This window comes from Homo sapiens, chromosome 1, assembly GCF_000001405.40.
Source record: "Homo sapiens chromosome 1, GRCh38.p14 Primary Assembly".
NCBI classification, from domain to species: domain Eukaryota; kingdom Metazoa; phylum Chordata; class Mammalia; order Primates; family Hominidae; genus Homo; species Homo sapiens.
In genome coordinates this window covers 206,332,152-206,353,425 of record NC_000001.11, presented here as the reverse complement: position 1 = coordinate 206,353,425, position 21,274 = coordinate 206,332,152, and the positions used below count along the sequence as shown (strand labels likewise).

Genomic DNA, 21,274 nt, shown 5'->3' with positions numbered 1-21,274 from the left:
ATCCACCCACCTTGGCCTCCCAAAGTGCTGGGATTACAGGTGTGAGCCACCATGCCCAGCCAAATTGGTAAACTTTAGAAATCATCTAAACTAAAGCATACAGAAAACAAAAATTTGAAAAAAATGGACAGAATATTAACAAGCTGTGGGACTGAATCAAGTAGTCTAACATACATGCAATTGATAACAAAGCAAAACAGGAAGGAGAGATGGGACAGAAAAAAATATTTGCCAAAAATTTTTCTCAAATTGAGGAAAAAATTGATATTTTTCCTACAATTTCTACAAATTAGATATTTGACAGATCAGGGATTGTCTGGATATTATATTTAACCAAGCCAAAGGAATACAATGAAAACCACGCTTACACTCTTATGATAATCAAAGAACTAAAAACCAAAGATAATGAATAAATATTGGAAGCAGCCAAATAAAGAAGGGCTGGGCATGGCAGCTCACGCCTGTAATCCCACCACTTTGGGAGGCCAAGATGGAAGGACTGGGTTTGCTTGAGCACAGAAGTTTGAGTCTACAGTGAGCTGTAATCATGCAACAGGACTCCAGCCTGGGGGACAGAGACTCCATCTCTTTAAAACAAACAAACAAACAAACAAAAAGATGATATATTACATACAAGTAAGCAATAATAAGAATCTAAGAACCACAGCTGATTTCTCATCAGAAATAATGGAGGCCAGAAGGCAAGTGAATTACATATTCAAGTTGTTGAAAAAAATTATCTGATTCCATTTACACAAACAAATTTTTAAATGGGCAAATACTTATATTGTGTTAGAAGTCAGGATAATGGTTACCCTTCAGAGAGTAATGACTTGAAGTGGAGAGAAGGAGGGTTCATGGGATACTAGTAACATTCTTTCTTCATCTGGGTGCTGATTACATAGCTGTATTCAGTTTGTAAAAATTCATTGAGCTGTACACTTTATAATATGTGTACTTTCTCTAAGTATTTTATACTTTCATAAATAGTTTAGGAAAAAAACTTTGCAAAAATAGATGAAAGGTTCAGAGAAAATACACATCTAGGGCCTACTACAGTGGGAGGTATTCACAGTGTGAATTTTACGAAAGGTTACTATTATTACTTTGTCATCATCATCATCCCACAGAAAGTTTTGAGAGACCTAAATAAACCAAAAACCCCAAGCTCCCTTGGGAGGCAAATCTTACTCCTCAATTTGATTTTCAAGCTCTTTTAAGCACCTAGCAGCATAATGCTGTGCATGCAGTATTCACTAAAATACTTATTGACTGTATAATCTCCTAATTTAGGGTAGTATTCCAATACAAGGTTGCATATGGACACTTTTATTTTTTGTCTACTGCACCTCTCTTTCCCATATTCCATTTCCCATATTCCATTCCTCGTCTTCAGATTCCCTTAATAATCCTTTGATTTATACAAATCGAAGTACTATTATACTTTTGAAAGTTCTAAATATAGCACCTTGAGCTCTTTTAGAAAAGGTAGATACCTAAGAACTAAAACACCAAAAAGGCAAACACACAAACTAACCTAAGCAAAAGACTACAGACATCTTTGATGCACACATTCCCTTTGAGCTGCACCTTCCGAAGTCTAAATAAAAGCCTGGACCACCCAGAGAGCAGCCTCAAGGGAGAGCACACAGATGCTGCTGACCCAGTGTCACAGAAACCAAAGCTAAAACACCCCCAACAGCACGAGCTGCAAAGCTCCCCTCGGTGTTGGCTTTGGCAGCAAACCTGACGCCCCTTATCAGCAGAGATACCTTTGAAGTAGCTGGCAGCCTTCCATCCCCTACTCAAATAAGCTCAGCTTCACATTCTATTCTTTTCTCCAAAGAGGATCTTTTCATCAGATATGAGAGAATAAAGCTCAATTAATTAGAACAGATTTTTGCTACCAACAAGATAAACTGGGCAACTGGAACAGCTGTCCGTAAAGCACTGTGCAAACGCTGTTAGTGACCATGCTATAATGTGGAGGAAATTCAGTCCAATCACAGATACTGAGTTCAGACGAGCAGGAGGGATATGGTAGACGGGGAAGGGAGGGAGGGTTAAATCACTCATCTACTCCTTCTCCCAAAGAGTTAAACCCTTTCTTAAGGGGGCAGAGCACAGGGACACAACCTTTGGAAAACCATTCTTTTCCTCCATTCATTCAATCCACAGCACTTACCAGGGACATTCAACTATACCAGCATTGTGGGTCACCACTTCTCCTCTTCTTATTTATGACCATCACACCACCCAAAATGCCCTCTCACAGTTTCATCATCCACTCTTCTCACACATGCCAAACAGCTGGACTCAAGACACGCCATAGGAAATCCTATCTCAGTCCAAATGGATACCAAACAGATAGGTAACATGCACTGCTTTTAGTTTTAAATCTCATTTATCCTTTTTAACTACCAGATTCATTTCCTTAGTGCCAAAAGAAATCTGACTGTTGTGGCAATTCTCTTGTGACTGATTCACTAATGGCAAAAGGACATGTTTAACATCTCCAAGGCCCCGGAGAAAAGTATTAACTGAGCCTCTTACATTCCTTCCTCAGCACTCTTCTTGCATTCCCCACTTCCTGCAGTGTGAAGGAAGCCAGATTCACCCTTTGTCACCAGATTTATTTATCTGAAGCTAACTTCACCCTTCATCACCCTCCAAGAATAAAGTAGGAAACCACAATGGGTTGCCTAGAGAAACTAGCCTAGATGCTTTAACACTGTCTGTTGCAGAGGCAAACATGGCTCACATACAGATAGACAGGATCTTAGGGCATCAGATATTCTCTGTGCTCTGCAGTTTCCCCAAGATGGAAAACAGTGCAGCAGTGATTCTCAGCCCTAGCTGTAGGCAACAATCACCCAGGCCCTACTCCAGAGATTCTGACTAAATCATGCTGGGGTAGGGTCTTGGCATGAGTATTTTTTAAATTAGATCAACTTTATTGAGGCATAATTTACATAATAAAATGTACACATTTTAAGTGTATAATATGATAAAGTCTGTCTAATGTACCACCATGGTCAAGATTATGTAACATTATAAAAATGTTATAAAGCATTGTTTAAAATGTTATATAATGTAGGCTATAAAAACCCTACAAACTCCCTTGTGTCCCTTAGCAGTCAATCCTTCATCCCCATCCTGGCCCCAAGGCAATCAATGATCTATTCTCTATCACTATAGATCAGATTTGTTTTTTCTAAAATTTTATAGAAACAGAATCATACAGAATGTACTCATTGTGCTTGGCTTCTTTTTATCAACATAATGTTTTTTGAGCTCATTTATATTGTATCAGCATTTCCCTTCTTATTGCTGAGTAGTATTGATATATGGATACACTACAATATGTTTTTCCACTCACCTGTTGATGGACATTTGGGTTGTTTCCAGTTTGGGCTATTATGAATAAAGTACCTAAGGCAGCTGTAACAAATTACTGCAAACATGGTGGCTTAAAACAACATACATTTGTTCTCTTAGAGTTCTGGAGGTCAGAACTCCAAAACCAATTTCACTGGGCTGAAACCAGTGAGTCAGCAGGGCTGCTTCTGCTCCGGAGGCTCTCAGGAAGAATCCGTTTCCTTGCCTTTTCCAGCATCTAGAGCTGTATTCACTGGCTCATGGCCACTTCCTCCATATTCAAAGCCAGTGGCATAGCATCCTCTCTCTATGACTCTGTTTCCCTCTGCTTCTATCACATGACCTTCCTCTCTTTTATCTGTAATCTCCTTCTTATGAGGACACTTGTGATTGCATTTACAGCCCACCCAGCTAATTAAGCATAATATCCCCATCACAAGATCCTTAAATTAGTCATATCTGCAAAGTATTACATGCATAAGGTAACATTCACAGGTTCCAAAGGTTAGAATATGGACCTCTTTTTTTTTTTTTTTTGAGGGAGGCATTACTCAGCCTATCACAAAAGCTTTATGAATATTCAGGTGCAAGTCTTTGTTTAGACATATGCTTTTATTTCTCTTGGGTAGATGCCTATAAATACCTGGAATTACTGGGTCATATGACAAGTACAAATTTAATGCCATAAGAAACTGCCACTATTTTCCAAAGTGGTTGTACCACTTTCACACTCTCACTAGCAACATATGAGGGTTCTGGCCAACTTCCTTAACACTTGGTATTGCCAGATGTTTTAATTTTAACCATCCTAGTGAATGTATGGTATATCTTCTTACAGTTTTAACTTGCGTTTCCATCACGAGTGATGATATTGAGCATATTTTCATGTGTTGATTAGCCATTTGTATATTTTTATTAGTGAAATGTTTATTAAAACCTGTTTCCATTTTTAAAAATTTGGGTAGTTTGTCTTATTACTGAGTTCTCAGAGTTCTTTATTCTATAATCTGATATAAGTCCATGTCAGATACATATTACAAATATTTTCTCCCAGTCTGCGTCTTGTCTTTCATTTTGTAAATAAAGTCTTTCTAGGAACAAAAGTCCAAGACTTGATGAAGTCTGACTTATCCTTTATAAAATTTTATGGTTCATGCTTTTTATATTCTAAGAAACCTTTGTTTATTCAAGGTCACAAAGATTTTTTTAAAACTCCCCAAGTAACTTTCATGCCCAGGCAAAGTTGAAAGCTACTGGTCTATAGGGAATCTGACTTGGCTTTTTCAATTTAACCTAAATTTTTGCCATAGAAACTTAAGAGTCCTAACAGCAAAACAGGAGTACAGTTCACTGCAGTGCTGTAAAAATAAGGATGCAACTGAGCCTTAGCACTGTCTGAACTGACCAGCTTCCAAGCTTAAGTGTGAGCAGCTGTGAAGGGCTAGAAACAGTGATTTGAGAAAGCAAAGTCAGAGGTACTTTTAGTGTGTTCCAGCTAAGTAAAAAGAGAAAACAGGATTATCCTCTCTCCTGTAGGAAAAAGCACACCCAAGTTTATTTCAGTTTAAACTAAGCAAGTGGGAAAAATTATTTCTGTTCTTGGTGGGCTTCTTTAGAACATGCCCCTCATGGAGACCACAGGGAGATGGGAGTCAAACTTGGCAGTTTTTGCCCATGGTTTTTGAAGCCACCGCATTAAACAAATGAAGGTGGCAGCAATAATATTTGCCCAAACCCTGGTTCCAACAGAGGTTAGACAGACTGAGCTTTCATTACATGAAAGGAGATGTCAGGAGCACCAAACGGGCTCAATTTTCCCTCTCGTCCTAGACAAAGTCAGTCTGTTTTTAAGCTGTGAACAGGAGGCTACTTTCTCCAGATGTTATATTTAGCTAAAGGAATCTCCAACATGGCTTCATGCAAAATGTAAAATATGTACCAGCAGACATTACCACAAACCAGAGGGCTAGCAAGGAGCCTCCCTTAAGGGGGTTCAATAGCATAGAGGGGCCAATTGTGCAGCCACCCTGACATCCCTAAATTAGCTAAATTAGCTGTGAGCCAGATTTGGGGCCAATTCTCACATTTAATGAGTCCTTGTTTCCCTCTTACAGGGGGCACAGATATTTTGCCCCTGGGGAGTATAAACATGCTGCCCTATTTCATTCCCAACTTCCAGCTGCTTGCCCCAACCCCAGGTAGGAAAAACAATCCAATGTTGATGTTCAACATCTCCATACCCTTTGAAGGTTTATGTGCAAAAGAAAAATTAGGTTAATTCTATAACTAAGTGAAATATCTGAATTCAATGAAACAGAGAAAATCCAGGATTTTCTCTTCTCTGTACAACATACTTAGAGAATCCTAATACAGTATGTAGATGAAAACGTTGGATTCTAGAGCCAGGTGACTGGAGTTAAACATTAGCTTCATTTCATTTTTCTTAATCTCTCTCTCTCTTCTTTTTTTCTGAGACGAAGTCTTGCTCTGTTGCCTAGACTGAAGTGCAACAGCATGATCTCTGCTCACTGCAACCTCCACTTCCCGGGTTCAAGAGATTCTCCTGCTTCAATCTCTTGAGTAGCTGGGATTACAGGCACTGGCCATCTTGCCTGGCTAATTTTTGTGTTTTTGTAGAGACGGGGTTTCACCATGTTGGCCAAGCTGGTCTTGAACTCCTGACCTCAGGTGATCTGCCCACCTTGGCCTCCCAAAGCGCTGCGATTACAGGCGTGAGCCACCGCTCTCAGCCCTCTGTTTTGTTTTTTGTTTTTTTGTTGTTTTTTTTTTTTTAAACAGACAGGGTCTGGCTCTGTTACTCAGGCTAGAGTACAGTGGCATGATTATAGATCACTGCAGCCTCAAATTTCTGGGCTCAAGTGATCCTTCCCGTCTCAGCCTCCTGGGTAGCTAGGCCTACAGGTGTGTACCACCATGCCTAGCTAATTTTTTTTAAGTGGGGGAGGGAGGTAGAGACAGAGTCTTGCTATGTTGCCCAGGCTGGTCTTGAACTCCTTGCTTCAAGCGATCCTCCCACCTCAACCTCCCAAAGGGCTGGGATTACAGGCTTGAGCCACTGTGCCTGGCCTGCTTAATCTCTTTAAGCCATAGTTTCTTCCTTCATAAAACAGCGATGATGACAATAGTAACTACTTTATAAAATTATGGTAAGGATTAAAGGAGATAATACATATAAAGTGCTTAACACAATACCTGGCACATAGAGGTTCAAAATATAATGACTTCTATTATCATAATTTTTGCAGTGAATCATTAAGTTTTATAGATTAAAAAAAGATTTTTAAAAATGACTTTTGCTAGTGACAAACAGACCCAAATTCACATAAAGCACAGGTGTGTACAGCCATACCACAAATTAAGGTATCTTTTCTAAGCCTATGTCCCCAGAGAAATGGGTCCTTTTGCCACTGGAACCAAATTTACTGGTAAAACATATCTATTTTATGTATTTGGATCCCAATTTGGTATTTCTTCATTGCTGACACTGTAGATATCAGCACCTGAAATAATGCTTCATTCTTCAAGAAATCTGGTCTTCATTTGCTTAAGCTAGCCCTCTCCACACCTATATCCACTTTTGTTTGTCCTTATCTGTGGGATTACAATTTACCTATCACAATTTAACAAAGGTAACCTAACAACCAGAAGGAAGCCCCCAGTGTAGGATCCCCTTATCGTCACAGAACTGTGGTATCCTGAATTTGGAAGGCACCATGGAGATCACATAGACCACACTCTTTTTTTAAAGTTTAGGGAACTGAGGCACAGAAAGAAGTCATTGTCCAAGGTCTCAGAGTTAAGAGCAGAGCTAGGCCCAAGAGAAAGGGTCACTTGGAAAAGGCATCTCCTCTGATAGCACAAAGCAAATCCCCGGGAAGATTCATGTAACTACAGAATGGCTGAGGACATTCCTTAGGACTCTTATCTGATACTATATCTTAACCAGTAGGATTCTAATTCATGTGCAACGACACTCTAAACAAAAGAGGTTAAAAAACTGGGGTGTGGTATGAAGAATGTTTGTTTGCCCATTACTAGAAAGCAGAGAGGCTCTTTACCCAGCCAAAAGAGAATGAATCAATTTTTTTTTTTTAGGAGTCAGGGTCTCTCTCTGTTGCCCAGGCTGGAGTGCAGTGGCATGATTACAGCTCACTGCATCCTCAAACCATCAGGGTCTCTCTCTGTTGCCCAGGCTGGAGTGCAGTGGCATGATTACAGCTCACTGCATCCTCAAACTATCAGGGTCTCGTTCTGTTGCCCAGGCTGGAGTGCAGTGGCATGATCACGGCTCACTGCATCCTCAAACACCTGGGCTCATGCAATACTCCCACCTCAGCATCCCAAGTAGCTGTGGCTACAGGCACAGGCCACCATGCTCAGCTAACTTTTAAAATTTTTTTAGAGACAAGGTCTTGTTATGTTGCCCAGGTTGTTCTTGAACTTCTGGCCTCAAGCATTTTCCCACCTTGACCTCCTGAGTTGTTGGGATTACAGGAATGATCCATGGTGCTTGGCTCAATCTATTTTTATGATCTGCCAACCAGCTCCTAATTTAAGAGTTTTCTGCCTACATGGGAATGCCCCAAGGGAGGGAGAAAAGAGATTATTCACCCTGTGGGATAGTAATCATTGGCCATTCAACAACCCTGGGCATGTCTCTAATCAACTACAATTTAATTGATCCAAAGTTACAAAGATCAAGAGAAATTCCTATGATCTGCAACTATACACAACAGTATGAATAAATCTCACAAACATAATATTGAAAGAAACCAAACAAAAAAGAGTACATACTGTGCAATTCTACTTATATAAAGTATGAAACCAAGCAAAGCTAATCTCTGCTGTTAAAAGTCAAGACAGTTGTTATCCTTGGGGATTTAGGGTGGGGAGATGACTAGAAGGGAATATGAGGGGCTTTCTAGGGTACAGAAATGTTCTGTTTCTTGATCTGGGTGCTGGTTACACAAGTGTGAATTCAGTTTGTGAAAATGCATATAGCTATTAAATTATAATAGGCATACTTTTCTTCAGTGAAATGTAATATATAAACAGTCCTATGAGAAATAAGTTCTTCCTCACGCTCTAGCATAGTAATACACGGCTTAAGGAAGTCAACCCTGAGCCCATGGCTAGGAATATCATTCACAGACGAATTTTCTTCATGGATGTCATATGCCCCACACCTTGTATACATGCCATGTACCTACCTTTGGTGAAATGTGCATAGGGCACTTGAAGAGCCAGGAACACTCGTGACTTTGCTATCTGGCTGCCTTCAGTATAAGCATCTCTGAGATCTGGAGAGGCTATTAAATTATCTAGCCTGGTTTTTCTCTAACCTTCTAAGGCTTGGTAAAAAGGGAGCTGAGAGACTGGGTGAAGTCTAGCTAGGTGAACAGATCTTATAAAAGTTGTTTTCTCAGATGAACAAAGAAAACGGAGGAGGAAACTATCAGTCAAGCCCTTTCCTTCTTGAGATAGTCTAAGTGGCTGTCAAGGTCATAGAGACGAGCTGTCAAAATTTCACCTAAATAGGTTTTAATTTTAGTCACACACATGCATCACCAAGTATTGCAGAATAATTCAAATTAATGACAACCAAGCTGAAGCTGATGCTGGAAACCATGGAGGAGATGGTGAGAAGTACCCTCACTCCAAAATGAGGTGTGGCCCCAACCACAGCACAGCCGGGCTACTAATAAAAGCCAGTGAGCTCTGGGAGGAGTTATCTTTCTCTGCCTTCTTTTCGTCGTCAGATGATTGTACCCTCAATATTCTGTCTCTAAGACACAGGGAAAGCACCTTCACGGATGCAATTAGGTAGATGGAAGATTCCAAATCAGTTATTTGATCAGGCTGGTAATTACAGAAAAAAAATGGGGTATTAATTCCAGATCTAGTGAAATCTGGAAAAATTCCTGAGAACTGGAAAGCTGATCAAGAGCTTTGACTGTATCGACTACAATCCTGTTTACCAGTCTTTTCTCTCATACTTTCAAATTTTAATAATGGATTTTGTCACCTGGAAACTGATGAATTCTAAATAGCCCTCTATAATCTTTTTCTACCTATAACTTTTAGGAAGATTATTTGCCTTCTGGAAAGTCTTCCGGGGATGTCAATGCTTGAATGGTAGACATGGCATATCATATACAATGGTTGGGGCCTTCACCGCTGTCTGTAACCCAACCTCATGAATAAATGATTCCACTTTGAGCTCAAGCTGAGACAGCTTAGAAAAGAGCTTCCTGGATTTTCAAGAGGCTAGTTCCATCGTTGACAGGTAAGGTGAATTGGCTCCTTAAGATTATCATGATTATTTTGAGTTTTCCTTTGTCAAATTGTTCAACCTATACCCAAGGAAGTACGATAACAATTGAGTTCCGAAAGCATTCAGAGACCCAAAGACAAAGACATACCACGATAAGAATAACCACACTTTTGAGTCTACCTTGGCCAAGATAAGACCCTGGGAAGAAAACTAAACTAAAAACATAAACGTATATGAGTTTGCTAAATGAACTAGAATAGGAAAACATAAAATGACAGTGTTGGCCCCTTAAGCTCAACAGCTTCACAAATCACTTTAAGAAAACTTCCCAAAACACAGTTTTTGTTAATAGATGCAGATTATGAATTATAGTACCAGCCCTGGGTTTATACCTTGCAAATGGTTCCTTTCCCAAGGCTACTATTAATTCAGCTCAGAAAGGAAGAAAGGAATGCCAATTCAAATATTTTTTTTCTCCGCAAGTATGTGGTAGGGAATGACTAGTGGAAAGCCTATGAAGTGGGCCAATAAGATATTCTTTCTTTTATTTTTTCTTTCCAACTTTTATTTTAGGTTCAAGGGGGGTATATGTGCAAGTTTGTTACATGGGTAAATTGCATGTCATGGGGGTCTGGTGTACAGATAATTTTGTCACCCAGGTAATCAACATAATATCTAATAGGATTTTAAAAATTGTGTCATTGCTCCACCCAAGAACCTCTGTGACTAGAAATATCTCTGTACCTTTTTAAAGAGTCTTCCTGAGTCCTCGCTGACTTGTACAAATCGAGGAATGATATTATTCAGGTAGATGTCACTCAGGGTGGTATGGTCCCTGCTTTCCCGCTTCACCTGGTTTAAGAGGAGATTCCAGCAGTTGACTGGAGAGAGAACATTCTGATCCTTCCTGTGAAGAAACATCAAGGAAAAGAAGTCATTGTTGATACGCAGCCAGGGCAACATCTACAACTATAGTCCGTGTCCTAAAATCACAGCAATCAAAGCCAATCCAGAAATAAAGATATTTTTCCTGAAGCTCACCTCTCTAGTTTTCTCCTTTTCTAAAAACTCAGTGGAGAAAAAAGGAGAAAATAAGGACAAGAAGGAGAGGGAGGGAAGAGGGGATGTGCAAGGAGAAACAGGATTATCTGTTAGGCACCTACTATGTTCTAAGAACTTGGTGAATGCTTTATACGTATTATCTCATCTCATCTAAGCTCTATCATTTCATTTTAAGGAAAGAACTACCATTATCCCCCTTCAACTGATTAGAAAACTGAAGCTCAGAGAGGTTGTCACTTGTCTACAGCGAGTAAGACTAACACAACAAGTAAGAGGGCGCCAGGGACTAGAACAACAGTTCTGCATTGTCTGGCTAGACCAGGTCTAAGGTGATTCTGAAGTCCATCATTTTAGCCACTAAGTCATTTGGTTTGTCTCTAGGGTTAGAAACCAAAGTTAGAGATTTTGTCTAGAGACAAAAATCACTACAGCACTACAAAATCCCCACAAATGTATCCATTGTAGGATTTAATAAAGGCAAATTTGGAGACATATGCCATTAAAATGTTACTGAAAACTCTGGAGTTCCACAGAACACATCTAAGGAAGTTTTGATTTCATTTATTGAGCCATGATCTCATGTCCCATACAATCAAGAACACAAACCATACCTGAACATGCGTTCCTAAAATGTCTACAGCTTGAGTGGAGCAGTAAAGTGCTAAACCAAGGCGCTCATTCCCTTTTTTTTTTGAGACAAAGTCTCACTCTGTCACCCAGGCTGGAGTACAGTGGCACAATCTTGGCTCACTGCAACCTCCGCCTCCCGCGTTCAAGAGATTCTCCTGCCTCAGCCTCCCTAGTAGCTGGGATTATAGGCACCTGCCACCACGCCCAGCTAACTTTTGTATTTTTAGTAGAGATGGGTTTTCACCATGTTGACCATGCTGATCTTGAACTCCCGACCTCAAGTGATCCACCCACCTTGGCCTCCCAAAATGCTGGGATTATAGGAGTGAGCCACCGCGCCCAGCCCTAGATGCTCATTTCTAATGAAAACATTGTGATCCAAAAGAATTATTGATTACCAACTCAGCATTAACTTAAGCAACAGAAAGTTCTACATTTGGAAGTTGGATTTCTTTAAGGAGAGAAACAAAAGTAGGAATAATTTGCAGTACTATTTATCAAGGGATACTGTACACATATCTGGGCCCTTTATACATGTTGTTTGACTTAAACCCCACAACTACCTGATGAGGTGGGTGTTATTAACCACATTTGGCAGATGAGGAAAAGTAGACTAAAAATTTTTAAACACTTTGCCCAAGGTCATATAGCTAAAAAGTGGCAATTCCAGAATTCAAACCAAGCCTATAACTGCAAAGCGAGTACTGTCATTCACTGCAAATAATAACTATCTGTTTCTTTCCCCCTTTCCTCTCTTCCCTGCTCCAGTCAGACTCCTACTACAAAGAAAGTGAGTTGAGAGTAGCTTGGTTATTGAGTCAGTACTGCCTCCATTCAGCACTAAAGGCCAGGCACTTGTGATTTGTAAACCATGAAGTTCAACTTAGAAGGCTTTTCCAATTCTATAGTAGTAACTATTAACAAATAATCATGCCATACTTACTTGGACTTCAGAATACATCAGACAAATCAAATATCTGTCTAACCCAACCAAGAAGTTACTTCAAACCAATTAATATTAGAGTCCAAATTGAAACTGTTCTAAACCTATATCCAGGTACCACTCACCCCCTGCCCCAGGCATCACTCTTCTGTAGCCAAAATCACTAACTCTTAAGCGTGCCAATCACTGTGACAACACTTACCTTTTTAGGGAAACTGAAAGATTTCTATGGAAATCAAAAATATACCAGCTGAGAGGAAGAGAGACACATAATTAATTTACTCCTTTCAAAATGTTTAGTATCTGGGGAAAAAAAAGTGAACTGGAAACAATCCTAAATTCAAAATGGTAAGATATTTGAACACATGCATTCCATAGCATCTGATGTTTCCATTGCAAGAAAACTTTCAAAATGATTCCAATTAGATTTCAGTTACAAAATTCTAAATAACCTAATTTACATTTTAATCAAGTGGTGTCTCTCGGCAAGATACCCATGTCCTCAGTAAGCATGCTTTTTAAAGGGGCAGATCTCATGAGACTTTACATTGACAACTGGTTTCAATCTATTTCTTAAGGGAGAAGATGGATTGGGGGGGGTCTATACTGGTTCTTTCCCTATAGCACTTTACATACACACAAATAATGCCACAATTCAATTCCACAAATGTACACACATTTGTATCTTAAATGAACAAGGCATGGTGTTAGGTGCTTTAGTGGTTATAAAAGTGCAAATGCTGCAATATAGTAAGGGAGACAAAGAAAGACCTATAGTAAAGTAGAACTTTAATGGTGGTACAAACAAAAGGCCAGCTAGCTCAGAAAGGTAGACCGCAGATCAAAAGGAAGCAGAGGAGGCAAAATCAACCTAACACCATGGAAAAGGATGCAGAGCACATATCCCCAGGGTGTCCTCAAAAGAAAAGATGACTGAACAAAGATGGGTCAATAAACAGGATGGCTGGAAGTAGAAATCTTTTAAAATAAAATGCCTTATCACTTAATGCTAATAAGTTTTATTGAGAACTTGTAAGGTGTGGCTCACACCTGCAATCCCAGCACTTTGGGAGGCCAAGGCAGGTGGATCACTTGAGACCAAGAGTTCAAGACCAGCCTGGCCAGCATGGCAAAACCCCATCTCTACTAAAAATGCAAAATTACCTCAGTGTGGATGGTGCACACCTGTAATCCCAGCTACTTGGGAGGCTGAGGCAGGAGAATCACTTGAACCCTGGAGGCAGAGGTTGCAGTGAGCTGAGATCATGCCACTGCACTCCAGCCTGGGTGAGAGCAAGACTCCATCTCAAAACAAAAGAAAAAAAAGAAAAAAGAACTTGCAAGGTGCTATAAGTACTTTTCACATGTATTTATTTCCATCCTTACAGCATTTTGTGCGATAGTTACAGTATTAGTATTGGTTTCAGAGAGCAGGAGCTTTTAAACTGTGTTCTGAGATACTCTGGAATTAGCAGAAAATCACATTTCAATTTAAAAAACGGTGACACATCCATTCAAATGAGCAACCCTCACTGACATGAGCAAGAGACCCAGGACCCAGTCTCCCTGCATTAGATACCACTGCAATGTCTCGCAGGCTGCTAGCATTGTTTTATGTAAACCCTGGAAGAAAGAATCACTGTATGCCTTGGAACTTCTGAACAATATGCTATTAATTAGAATACATGTAGCTTTGCATAGGTTTATTTTTTCATTCAAGCCTGTGTGTGCCTCCTCCAATAAAGCTGTACAGGTGAGCCTATAACTTGACACACAGCAGCAAGGTTCAATCACATGCCATAGAAGGCTCAAGGGCCTAGGCTGGGTTCATGTTAGACCGTGGTTGGGTAGCGAAAATCAACATGCTTAATATCATACCATCTCATCATCAGTTGTTGCGATGCCTATTATACATGTTGGGGCTTATCCAATTAATATTTATGAAGGGGAATAGCTGCTAGGTGATGATAGTGACTCAACTTTAAAACAAAAATATCTTCTTTTTTCCATCTAAATCAATTTAAAGCTCAAGATTACAATAACTTATCTATGCTAATCAGAATTTTCTTGATATTGGACTGACTACCTAAACCAAAACCAGATGCTGAAACGAATATCAAACTATAACTGATTCATAATCCTGATCTCAATATTTTTAGTTCATGAAAACAGCCTCATTGTTCTCATTGACTGACAGTATAATAAGTACTCTATAAATTTGTACTTTAAAAGCAGATTTATACCAATAAAAATACTGCTTTGATCTGTTTCATATATTGAGGCTCTATGCAAGATTTTTATTTTAAAAAAGGAGTCTATGCTTAAAAAACCAGCACTAGATCCTGTTGGCTGTTTCTTCCAGGAGTTCTCAGCCTCTCCTACTATTAATGCAGCTTTTCACACAATATTTCTGGTCCTTTGAGTCTGTAAGCTTTCTCAGACATATTCTTCCTTTCAACTGAGGTGTTTCAATTAATTCATTTATTTATTTTTGGGTAGTGGTAGAGCAAGTAAGGTAGAGAGAAAGTGGGAGGAGGGGATCACAAATATACAGACAATTTTCCCAGCCAACACGAACAAAGATGAAACACACTTCAGGCTGGAAAATAAGCACGGCAACGAGACGTGATTTCATAGGGAGCATATTAAGGCTCTGCTAGAGTGGTTTCCTGCTCCAGAAGCTTTGCAGCCTCATTTTATTTGGGACCGCTGAAGCCAAGGGAACTTCGTTTGGTTAGGAGATTGAAATTTGTCTTTATATCTTTTCCATCTATCATTTGTTTGCACAGTCTCTTTACTTTCCCCACCCCCAGAGCCTTAGGTTGTATAATACTTGGGCCTTTAAAGGAAAGGGTCTGCATCCCTTAGGAATGTGCTGAGCAGCTGCAAACCTCCTCAAACACTAATCCCTAAAAAGCAGACAAAATACCTAGGAGTATTTTTCTTACTTAAAATGTTTTTCAGGAGGAAGATCAAGAAAACATCATACTGTACTTGAGAGGGAATGACTCTGGAGTCGAAAGGAGACCCGGAAAGTCACATGCTGCCTGTACATCTGCAGAAGACATTATCACTGTAAATGCACTGAAAGAGATAAACCTGCATAGCTGAATCATTAGCTTCGAAGACATTAGACCAGCTTTTCTCCCTCACCTTGGACTATTTATGGACGTTCAACAAACTTAGCAACAAGCGCTTAAAGGGATTTCTCTAAAATATCCATGGTGAAGAGCCAAGTCCATAAAGGTCCAAGTTGGCCTCTCTATTATGGTTCTTTTCCATATCACCTCTGTTTGGTTTTTATCATCTCATCTATAAAATGGACACGTGCCCTATTGGTATACATCTCACTCCTCAAAGATCTTCAAAGTATGGCTGTAAAATCCTAGACGCTCTCCTGACCTAAGGTGCCATTTAATTAATAATTGCTACGTTCATGGCTGTGCAGATGGAATGCATGGCATGAGGCTGGCATTGCTGGAATATAGCTTGAGCTTCTGCATTGCTATAACGAGGTGTGTTTCCTTTTGGGCCAATAGTCTCTAAGTTGCTCACCTCTCAGGGCTGTTGTGTGGATCAAATGAAATGATGGATGCAAAAGAACTATGCCAATAGTTCAGCACTATACAAATGTGAAGAAATATTATTATTTTTATTTCCAAACAAACTAGGACTCAGCTTTCATCAATTTCCAACATGCTTCTCACCCGGCTCTGGGCCAGGGCCAAGATTGCTGCCTGCTGAAAATGCACAGCCTTCAGCAAATAATGGTTTGAGTAAGACAGCAGCAACAGGCAATTAACAAAGCAGCCGTAAGGCTCTGGGAAGACGTGAGAGAGATACCAACAGGAGAGCAGATTTTAATCTCCCACTGTCCTTTCCCTAAGGGACAAGGTAGAACAATCAGTCCTGCATTCCACACTGGGAACTGTGTGCTGAGGTTGACAGAAAGGAATCCAAAGGGAGCACAGATTGCCAAAACCCTAGATGCTTCAGCAACTTATACTAAGCTCCCATCCCCTGTCTCAGAATTCCTATCAAACCCGCCAATCTGCATAGAGAGATGGCAACTATCAATACATCTAAGCAGAATATAATTTCTCGCTTTTAAAAACAGACCTATCTGTGATGATAGACAAAACTTAAAGAGTTAAATACATCATTCAATATATGTTATTGAACATACAAGTATGTGGTGAATAAAAAAAGGTACATGCATGATAAAAGGAATCATTTAAGTGATGGTTGGACAGGGAACTTGTGACAAGAAGGAGGTTGGATTTTTTAACCTAAATTCCCTCCTGGCACCTTGATTAAAATGAAATGAACTGAGGCAGCCAAAGAGATTATTTTATTCAGATGAGTGTTATTAGCCTTTCTGGCTTATTTTCTCTATTATGCATTTTGCTGATGCTGACAGAAGCAGGCAGGCTGGATAGAGAGGCAAAGCTGCAGCGGATTTATGGTCTGACAGTGTCATGCATAAAATCAGACCCTTGCTGACCCAGATAAGCCAGAGGATGGATTGGATTTGCTGGGGAAGGTGTTAAAAGAAGGAGGGGGTAAAAATCACCAAGGTAGGAAATGACTTGAAAACGATTCTGCCTGTAATGGTGGATGCTGGTTTTGTGACCCAGTAGTACAGCGGCAGCCTGAAGGTATCTTTCAAAGACAGACGGGCAGGCAGGGGGCGGGCACACTTCTCTGGGCTTATCACAGCTTTGGCTTCAGCGTTGCCAGCAATGAGATCAGAGGAGGAGAGTTCAGAGACAGAGAAAAGTGCCAAAGGCAAAAATAATATAGTCTACATATGGAGAAATGAACTTTCAAATTTTCAGGGACAAGTGAGTACCACAAATTGTCTTCGGTAGCCTAGACAGATGATTAGAAAGGATTCAAGCAGTGGTAGACCCACCTTCTCAAAATAGCCTAAATTGTCCCCTATAATCAGGTTTGGGGGAAGGACTGTATGAAAATAAGATTCTTGTGGCTCTGGATTAGTTCCATGGAGCAGAACCACACCCTTGAGAGAACAGCATGCCCAAGAGCCGGACCTTAGGAATCTGCTTTGAAGTAGAGAACTGGACTAGCACCATGTCTGACATCTATTAAGTGCTTACGATTTCCTGAATGATTATAGGACCAAGGTTCTTGTGGGTTAGGTCAGAGAACTAGGAATGGTCCCCAAATTTAAGCTATCGTAGACACTAACTGGAAATGTCTCCATCAATTTATGTTAAGTGAGAGATTCTGCCTTCCTTTCAACCACCCCTATGGCACGGTGCTCACAGCAGAAAGGAGGCAAATGGAGGGTCTTCATATCTCTTAAGATAGATCTATGGATCCCATAAGACCAGACACGGGGGTCTACACAAGATTTGAATCTCTGCCATCCACATTTCTTGCCTAGTTTCTGATATCTTATTGTCCAGGCTCCTTCTCTGAGTCCCTGATGTCTTCTTATTTCATTCATTCATTTAACAAATATTAATTGAGCCTCCTATTATGGGCTAGCCACTATTCTAGGAATAACAGGATCAACATTCTTTTTTCTGACCTGCTTCTCCCATGTTTGCAGACTTCCTGGATCCAAGACATGGCTTTCCTGCTCCTAAACTGTGCATCAGCCACAACCCACATCTTATCCTGGTCTTGTGGCTTGTGTGTACATTGGCTTGGATGAACCCACTGCAAAACCCTGATTTGGCTGACTTAGAAAATCTGCCTGCCCACCAGCTCCCTCTATAGCTTCTGTAGACCTGGGACCTTCCCTTTGTTTACATCCCATGTGTTAGCACTAGCATTCCCAGAACTATAGGGAGGAATGAATAAAGAGGCTTTTAAACCCTCTTGGTACAATCTACATGCTACAATGCCACCCCAATATAATCCATAGAACTAAGGGCCTAGAAATGCACTTAGGTATTAAATATGCTCCCTGAAAGCCCCCCAAAATAGGCTGTGATCACATCAAAGGCCTGAGCTGACTCATTCACTCAGTTAAACTAAAACACCATAGCAAGGGTAAAAGACAGAACAAAGGTGTGATCAATGACCGAGGAACATAAAATTTATACGTTTCTCAGCTTAAAAAGAATTCATAACCATCAATATCATGTTGACAGTTGGATCCACAAAGTCCATAGAAAAACCTGTGAACAACTCTACAATTATATCTTTGATTTTTTCTTCTCTAGTTAATTAAGATGTCACCAGAAGCCCTATAAGTAATTATAGCACTTGACAAACATACAGAGAAAAAAAATACACACAGATGTGTTAGCAGATTTTTAAAATAAATGAAACCTTGGGAAATGACTGAGGCAGACAGTCTGGCTCACCCCTGGTAGTTCATTCTAGAGAAATAAATACCTGTCTGTGCCAAAGTGGAATGACGTCACTCAGAAATCCACACACTTATTATCAAAGCAGTAACCACCCCCTTAAGAGCAAGCATCTCTCTGGCACCAGGCATGAGCGGAGAAGTTTGATCTACAGCCAGAAACTCCTCCTGGCTAGCAAATTGTACTTTAGTATGCCAAATAGCAATAAGCCACTGAGAAGAAAGGGTATCCATAAAGATCTCCCCCTCCCAAATACCCGTCCCTGGGACAATGAGTCCCCTTACATGGCTCATAACAACAATGAAAAGGAGGGGAAAAAAATAAAATTCTTGATTCTGTGAAACTATAGATCTAAATGGAATGAAGTCTACACAGTCATCAGATTGGCTGCATGTGTCATTATCAGTTCTCATGTGTTATTTGGATATTTATCTTGCCTTTATTAGAAGGAAGTCTCTTTTTGTGTGGGGGTGCAGGAGGAACAACCCCCAGGCCCAGTAAGGAATTCTCTTGAGGACAGGGTATATTTAGAATGTTTAATGAACACCTATCACCAAGAATAGGTGGGTCCTTAATCAGTATTGACTAACAACAGATGCCAGAGCCAAAGCAATCCTGTAAATGTTGAGGACAGAAAGACCATGATTCATTTAATGACTAGTTAATATGTTCAGCCTCCACCAATCTTGCCAAATCAGCTGCTCCAGTGTGTATCTGTGCTCACTCTCTGGGTGGCTACTGAATGACCAAATTTGTATGTCCATTGGCTTGTGTGCTCTAAATTACAGCATATTATTAACCATGTTGATACTTTACTGGCAAAACTTTAAAGGGCTGAGTGGTATAAGAGAAGCCCTAGTCAATTTCCAGGTTAGTAGATCAAATTAGCAAGTTCAGGTCCTTAAGGAATCTGGATGAAAAATGTGAAACTCCATCTACACTCTGTGGAAAGCGCCTTGAACTATGCTTAAGACCCAGAGTCTAGGCTTAGCTCTGCCACTTACTAGCCAGGTAACTTTGGGCAAGTCACAAATGCATTCTGGGTCTCAAAATCTCTTCACCTGTTTTAAAAAGTAAATGGAAGCCAGGTATGGTGACACGTGCCTGTACTCCTGGCTACTCGGGAAGCTGAGGTGGGAAGATCGCTTGAGCCCAGGAGCTTGAGGCCACAGTGCACAATGATTGTGCCTGTAAATGACCAGCCTGGGCAACATAGGACCTGTCTCTTAAAAAATAAATAAATAGAGACGGAGGTAGAGGGAGGACACAGAGCCGCGCCGCCCGCACCAGAGACCTTCGCCTCGCCCCGCCGGTTCCTCACCCTCGGGGAGCAACATGGATAATCTCAGTGATACCTTGAAGAAGCTGAAGATAACAGCTGTTGACAAGACTGAGGATAGTTTAGAAGGATGCTTGGATTGTCTGCTTCAAGCCCTGGCTCAAAATAAATGATTCAGTGTAGGGGGGAGGAGCCAAGATGGCCGAATAGGAACAGCTCCGGTCTACAGCTCCCAGCGTGAGCGACGCAGAAGACGGGTGATTTCTGCATTTCCATCTGAGCTTTGAAGAGAGCAGTGGTTCTCCCAGCACGCAGCTGGAGATCTGAGAACGGGCAGACTGCCTCCTCAAGTGGGTCCCTGACCCCTGACCCCCGAGCAGCCTAACTGGGAGGCACCCCCCAGCAGGGGCACACTGACACCTCACACGGCAGGGTATTCCAACAGACCTGCAGCTGAGGGTCCTGTCTGTTAGAAGGAAAACTAACAAACAGAAAGGACATCCACACCGAAAACCCATCTGTACATCACCATCATCAAAGACCAAAAGTAGAGAAAACCACAAAGATGGGGAAAAAACAGAACAGAAAAACTGGAAACTCTAAAATGCAGAGCGCCTCTCCTCCTCCAAAGGAACGCAGTTCCTCACCAGCAACGGAACAAAGCTGGATGGAGAATGATTTTGACGAGCTGAGAGAAGAAGGCTTCAGACGATCAAATTACTCTGAGCTACAGGAGCACATTCAAACCAAAGGCAAAGAAGTTGAAAACTTTGAAAAAAATTTAGAAGAATGTATAACTAGAATAACGAATACAGAGAAGTGCTTAAAGGAGCTGATGGAGCTGAAAACCAAGGCTCGAGAACTACGTGAAGAATGCAGAAGCCTCAGGAGCTGATGCGATCAACTGGAAGAAAGGGTATCAGCAATGGAAGATGAAATGAATGAAAGGAAGCGAGAAGGGAAGTTTAGAGAAAAAAGAATAAAAAGAAATGAGCAAAGCCTCCAAGAAATATGGGACTATGTGAAAAGACCAAATCTATGTCTGATTGGTGTACCTGAAAGTGAGGCGGAGAATGGAACCAAGTTGGAAAACACTCTGCAGGATATTATCCAGGAGAACTTCCCCAATCTAGCAAGGCAGGCCAACGTTCAGATTCAGGAAATACAGGGAACGCCACAAAGATACTCCTCGAGAAGAGCAACTCCAAGACACATAATTGTCAGATTCACCAAAGTTGAAATGAAGGGAAAAATGTTAAGGGCAGCCAGAGAGAAAGGTCGGGTTACCCTCAAAGGGAAGCCCATCAGACTAACAGCGGATCTCTCGGCAGAAACCCTACAAG

General features: G+C 40.7%; 1 protein-coding gene across 18 annotated transcripts in view; it reads right to left on the bottom strand.

Moving 5' to 3' along the window:
* The window catches only part of SRGAP2 (SLIT-ROBO Rho GTPase activating protein 2), a 260,896-nt gene that overhangs the window by 111,011 nt on the left and 128,611 nt on the right, over positions 1–21,274 (bottom strand). For 14 of the 18 annotated variants that reach the window (XM_011509354.3, NM_001377444.1, NM_015326.5 and 11 more), the window contains one exon: positions 10,418–10,580. The exons of 1 other annotated variant lie outside the window; for it this stretch is intronic. In XM_011509354.3, coding sequence (XP_011507656.1) covers positions 10,418–10,580 — 163 coding nt within the window. Of the gene's footprint in view, positions 1–10,417; positions 10,581–12,510; positions 13,363–21,274 lie in introns of those variants that run through there. 3 more of the 18 variants (XM_047416532.1, XM_047416535.1, XM_047416536.1) reach the window with 3 other exon arrangements.